General features: G+C 43.3%; 1 long non-coding RNA gene across 1 annotated transcript; it reads right to left on the bottom strand.

The window, feature by feature from the left end:
- Positions 1–418: 418 nt before the first annotated feature.
- Positions 419–6,132, bottom strand: LOC105377577 (uncharacterized). Its single transcript, XR_939536.3, has 3 exons — positions 5,977–6,132; positions 925–1,056; positions 419–500 (listed from the first exon to the last, which is right to left on the bottom strand). It is a non-coding gene; the product is annotated as an uncharacterized LOC105377577 (long non-coding RNA).
- Between the last annotated feature and the right edge of the window lie 345 nt (positions 6,133–6,477).

Genomic DNA, 6,477 nt, shown 5'->3' with positions numbered 1-6,477 from the left:
GAAGGAGGGACATTTGGGAATACAGAAGGAGGAACATTTGGGAATACAGAAGGAGGGACATTTGGGAATACAGGAGGGACATTTGGGAATACAGAAGGAGGGACATTTGGGAATACAGAAGGAGGGACATTTGGGAATACAGAAGGAGGGACAAGGGAATGCAGAAGGAGGGACAAGGGAATGCAGAAGGAGGACAGTGTGAGTGTTGGGCATGTTGTGCTTGAGGTCCCTATGGGGCATGAGAAGAGATGTCCAGTGGGAAAATACGTACTTGATTTTGAAGTTCTCTTGGCTCAAGGTGGACATGCTGAAGTCATCACTGGCAGCTGAAGCTGTGATAGGATCCCAGAGAGACTGTTTAGAGAGAGGATCGGGCCAGGAAAAATATTTCAGCCATGACTGGAGGAAGAGGAACCATCAAGGATAATGAAGTGAAGCAGCCACAGAGGCCAGAAGAAAACTAGGGAGCAGGTGCATCATGGAAGCCAGCGGAGGGAGAGCTTCAAGAAGGAAATAGAATCAACAGTGAATAAGAAGGCTGAGGAAGTTTGTACCTTAGTCATTCCTGTTGTCATTTTTTGACCAATTTAAATTTCATTTACATTCTATTCCTGTTACCTATTAAATTCAAAAATAAGTGTTTAATACATTACATAAAATATAGCCATATTGTATAGATATTACAGCTAACAATTATGGCCTTATCAAGGTACATCTCTCCTCTTGTATTCTTATGGTAATGCCAGAGGTATTCTTTCCAGTTGTGCTTGAAGCAAAGCCTGGAAACACATAAAGAAACTATTCCTGCAATTCTCCAGTATAAAAATGAAATTTTATTCTATAGAAATAAATTCTAGTATATGACTGAGTGGGTCCTTTTGAGAGATACTTTATAATGCCATAATAAAACTACTTTGTACTCACAAGTTCAGCCGTTCAGGTTTTTATATTTGTCATAATGTCAGAAATTACCCTGAGGTATCCAGAGAGTAGCAATACTTTGAATATGATGGAAACATATTCAGAGTTCTCAGCACTGCCACATAAACATTGAACCTAAATAATTGAATGAGAAAAATACATTTTAAAAGGTTTATTCCATGAAAGAAGGTCATGTATTCAGAGTTCTCCAGAGAGACAGAACCAATAGGATATATAGATAGATAGACAGACAAGAGGGCATTTATTAGAGGAATTGGCTCATGTGATTACGGAGGCTGAGAAGTCCCACGACAGGCTGTCTACAAGCTGGAGACCCTGGGATGTCAGTAGCCCGGCTCTGAACCAGGAAGCTGATGGTGTAACTCTCAGTCTGAAGTTGAAGGTCTGAGAACAGGGAGTTGGTAGGGGAGGTTGCTGGTATAAGTCCTGGAGTCCAAAGACTGGAGAGCCTGGAGTTGTTCAAAGATAGGGGAAGAGTATCCCAGCTCCAGCAGATGGATCAGCATGTGTCTTTTCTCTGTTGTTATTCTCTATGGACCCCCAGCGGGTTGGATGGTGCCTGCTCACACTGAGGGTGGGTCTTCCCCACCTGGTCCACTCAGACTTACATGCTAGTCTCCTCCGGAAACACTGTCACAGACACACCCAGAAATCATGCTTTACTGGCTCTCTGGGCATCCCTTAATCCAGTCAAGTTGACACCTAACATTAACCGTCACACAGCATTTTATAATACTCTCAAAAAGAACGCTGAATCTCACTGTGGGGTACTGGTCTTTTAGGACTAAAAGACAAGTTAGTTGAAATTCAGAAATGTACTTGTTTGGTGTGGCATGCATGCATGTGTGTGCCTGGTCCTGTGTGTGTGTGTGTGTGTGTGTGTGTGTGTGTGTGTGTGCACCTGTTGGTTTTAGGGGATGTCTGCCCGATGACATATCTAGAGTCTAGAGTGCCCAAAGAGATTTAAATATCCTACCCAAAGAGATTTAAATTTTAGGAGGACGGTCTATTCAGTTCCCTTCTGGTTTCTAAAGAGGAGACAGTCGTATATCTCTTATATCTACAGAAGCAAACAAGATGTGAATGGAACAAAAATCAACCGATTTGTTTTCTGTTAGAAAATAAATATAGGCTTCATATCTGTGAAAAGGTATTGTTTGTCATAAACCAACACCCACATGAAATGTAATATTCTCAAAACTTATTATTTTGAAAAATTCCAAAAGTACAGAAAAGTTGAAAGAGTAATACATATACCTTTCATCTAGAATCACTAATTAGTAATATTTGGCCATATTTGCTTATTCAATGTTTATGTGGTTACATGTGTGTATGTACTGTTTTCTCTGAACCATTTGAAAATAAATTGTAGCTATCAGGATATGTCTCTCCTAAGTACTCTGTAATCCTAAGAACAAGAACATCTCCATAACCACAGTACCATTAGCAAACCTAATAAATTTAAAACTGATCTGCTCATATTCAGTTTTTCCCAATTATTCCCTTAATATCCAGGATCTAACCAACAACCACATTGTGCATTTAGTTATCATATCTTTTTAGTCTTTTTGCATCTAGAACAATCTCCTACCCATTTTTTGTGTGTTTTTGCTGTTTATGACATTGATATTTTAAAGAATCAGACCAGTTGTCTTGCAGAACATCCCACAATCTGAATTTGTGTGTTATTAGTTCCCTAGGCTGCTGTGACAACGTAGCACAGACTGCCTGGTTTAAAACAACAGTAAGGTATTGTCTCACAGCTCTGGTGACTCTAAGTCCAAAATCAAGGTGTTGGCAGGGCCACGCGCCCTCCAAATGCTGCAAGAGATAATCATTTCCATGCCTCCTCCAGCCCCCACTGGCTCCTGGCACTCCTTGACTATGGGCAGCATAACTCTTCTCTGCCTCGGTCTTCACACCACTTTCTTACAAAGAACACCATTCATTGTATTTAGGGCCCACCCTACACTAGTGTGACCTGATCTCAACTACGTCTGCAAAGACCCTATTTCCGCATAGGGCCACATTCTGAGATGCTGCATGTTAGGACTTCGACATGGAGAGATTTTGGGCAGACACCAGACACAATTGACTGAAGAACAGTGTGTTTCCTCGTAGTTTTTTTGTTTGTTTGTTTGTTTGTTTGTTTTTTGAGACGGCGTCTTGCCCTGTCACCCAGGCTGGAGTGCAGTGGCATGATCTCAGCTCACTGCAACCTCTGCCTCCCAGGTTCAAGCGATTCTCGTGTCTCAGCCTCCAAAGTAGCTGGAATTACAGGTGCCCGCCACCACGCCCGGCTAATTTTTGTATTTTTAGAAGAGATGGGGTTCACCATGTTGGCCAGGCTGGTCTCGAACTCCTGACCTTAGGTGATCCACCCACCTCGGCTTCCCAAAGTGCTGGGAGTACAGGCGTGAGCCACCGCGCCTGGCCCCACATGGTTGATTGAACTTGATGATTTTCATGAAGAATATTTTGCAGGTGATGCTGTGTACTTCCCATTACCTCAATTTGTCCCATTATTGGTGATGCTAAATTTGTTCACATAGTTAAGGTGGTGTCTGCCAGATTAAACCGATTATTAATAGGTAATCTATGAGGGTGGGAACACAACTGAGCTGAAGATTCAAGCTCAAGTCATGATGTGGAAGCTGACCTAGAAACACTGGTAGGAGGTGGGAAAGGGACATAGGGAAGCAGCACGGCCAGTGCGGGCTGGGGCGTCGAGCTGACTGTCACAGGGTGCTGCAGCTCAGTCCTGCTGGGACCGCTGGGTCAGTGTAGACTGGAACGAGGACCCCCTGGCTCTGGCTGTGGGCCACTGGAGCGGAACTTCTACCCTCCCCTGCCAGCAGACAGAGCTGGCTCTTGACCAAGGAAAGCCCTCGGAGCTTTGGGCTTGTGTGCTTCACAACATCAGGGCTCAGGACCATGGCCAGGCCGTTGGCAGCATCTGCTACAGTGACCTTGTAAGCTTCATTTGTGGCTGAATAGTACTCCATTGTGTATATGCACTAGTGTACATTTTCCTATCCATTCACCTGTTGATGGACACTTAGGTGGCTTCCAAATCCTGGCTATTGTGGATACTGCGGCAGTAAATACGGGAGTGCAGATATCTCTGGGCATGTCGATTTCAATTGCTGTGGATATGTACCCATATATGAAATTGCTGGATCACGTGGTCATTCTATTTTTTGTTTTTTGAGAAACCAAATTGCTAAGAGAGTAAATTTCTAGTGTCTCACCACCAAAATAATAATAATAATAATAATAATAATAATAATAAGTCAGGTGATGGATACGTTAATTAGCTTGGTTTAATCATTTCACATTGTATACATGCATCAAAAAATCACAGTGTCCCCCATAAATGTACATATTATCTGTCAATTAAAAACGAAACACTGAGCCAGGCGCAGTGGCTCATTCCTGTAATCCCAGCACTTTGGGAGGCTGAGGTGGGAGGATCACAAGGTCAGGAGTTCGAGACCAGCCTGGCCAACATGGTGAAACCCTGTCTCTACTAAAAATACAAAAATTAGCCCAGCGTGGTGGTGCACACCTGTAATCCCAGCTACTCGGAAGGCTAAAGCCGAAGAATCACTTGAACCTGGGAGGCGGAGCTTGCAGTGAGCTGAGATTGTGCCACTCTGCTCCAGCCTGGGAGACAGAACAAGACTCCTAAAAAAAGAAAAAAAAAAAAGAAAAAAGAAAAAAAAAGAAACACACGCACACACACACACAATGAAACCCTGTCTCTACTAAAAATACAAAAAATTAGCTGGGTGTGGTAGCAGGCACCTGTAATCCCAGCTACTCTGGAGGCTGAGGTGGGAGAATCTTGAACCCGGGAGGCAGAGGTTGCAGTGAGCCGAGATGGTGCCACTGCACTCCAGCCTGGGCACCAGAGCAAGACACCGTCTCACGCACACACAAAAATAATAATAATAAATTAATTAATTAACTAAATTAATTTTAAAATGTTAAAAACACCTTAATTTACGAGCAAGTTATATAGACCTCAGCTACTTTATCTCTAGCCATGCTTTCAGGAGTTTTCTCTGTATAATATCCTGCTTTGTCAATTGCAGCTCATTTTGGTTCCATATTTTTGTGATTTTGGGAACTGGAGTTAATAAGGGGTCCACTCCTCACATCCTGCGGATTCTGCGTTGTCAGTTACATAGGAGGGAACAAGGACGTGAAATGAAATTCCTGAAAATCCGAGAGGGAACGTTGAGGGCGAGGGCACGCGACAGCGGGCCTGGAGTGTGGCCTTGCCCTCTGCCCAGGCCGGCTGCAAATCTCTGCTGCCCCCTGGAGTCCACGCTGAGCACAACCCTGAGTGTCCTTGAAGTCTGAGTCCTGTCAAGGACCGAGTTGTGTCCCCTTCCGCCAAAATTCACATGTTGAAGCCCTAACCTCTAATGGAACTGTATTTGGGGATAGGGCCTCTAAAGAGGTAATTAAGGTAGAAGAAGGTCTTATGGTTAGGACTTAATCTAATATGACAGGTTTCCTTAAAAGAAGAAATTAAGACAAACAACAGAGACCTGGTCAGGACAGGGAGGGAAGGCAGCTGTCTGTCTGCAAGGCAGGCAGCTGTCTGTCTGCAAGGCAGGCAGAGAGACCCCAGGAGAAACCAACCCTGCCGACACCTTGATCTTGGACTTCCAGCCTCCAGAACTGTGAGAAAATACGTCTGTTGTTGAAGCCACTGGTCTGTAGTATTTTGTTATGGTAACCCCAGCAAACTAATACAGGGCTGCTTTGAGCTCTTTCATTCTCTGTTCTCTTTTTCTCATCTGTCTCTATATCTACCTTTTTGTCACACTCTTTGAACTTTAAGAAAGAGATACTTTACCTCCAGCCTCTAAATCTCTCTTGCTGCCTGGGAGGTAATTTACTTCTAAACATATCCAATTTTTCTTTGTCTTTCCAGTCTTTAAGAAAAGGGGGCAGGATTTAGATAATAAGTAGATCTTAAGTAACATTCTTTTCTTTACCTTGTATTATTTTCATACTCACCCTTTCCAAAAACTAGGTTCCTTTGTGGCTTGAGCTATGCAGCTGGCTCTCAGGTCAGCCTGCAGGACACGAGGGCAGGAGGTGGGTGTGTTTGCATCAGAAAGAACATGCTCTCACTGTGACTTCACTACAAACATTAGTCTTAAACAGTGCTTCTCAAATAGTCTGGGAGGGAGGACCTGGGATTTCCCCACGATCTGTACCGAATCTATATTTTTTGTCAAATAAGATCAAGGGATTTCTAGAAAAAAAATGAAGACATACAAAATACAGGTCCCAGGTTTTTATTATTAGATTCAATAGACAGAGAATTACTCTGTCCGATTGCTTTAATTGTTTCTAAACGGTTACTTTCAATGTCTGTACTTTTCACACACACTCAACATGCAGTGCAAAGACAGACACTGGTCTATGGAGCACGCTTTCAAGACAGCTGGCCCAAAGGGTGGTGCCAGTGATTTCCATTCTTTCTCATTGGTTTTAATAATCTCACTCAGAGTC

This window comes from Homo sapiens, chromosome 4, assembly GCF_000001405.40.
Source record: "Homo sapiens chromosome 4, GRCh38.p14 Primary Assembly".
Taxonomy (NCBI): domain Eukaryota; kingdom Metazoa; phylum Chordata; class Mammalia; order Primates; family Hominidae; genus Homo; species Homo sapiens.
Note: the sequence above shows the minus strand (reverse complement) of the source record. Positions and strands in the feature narration are given on the sequence as shown.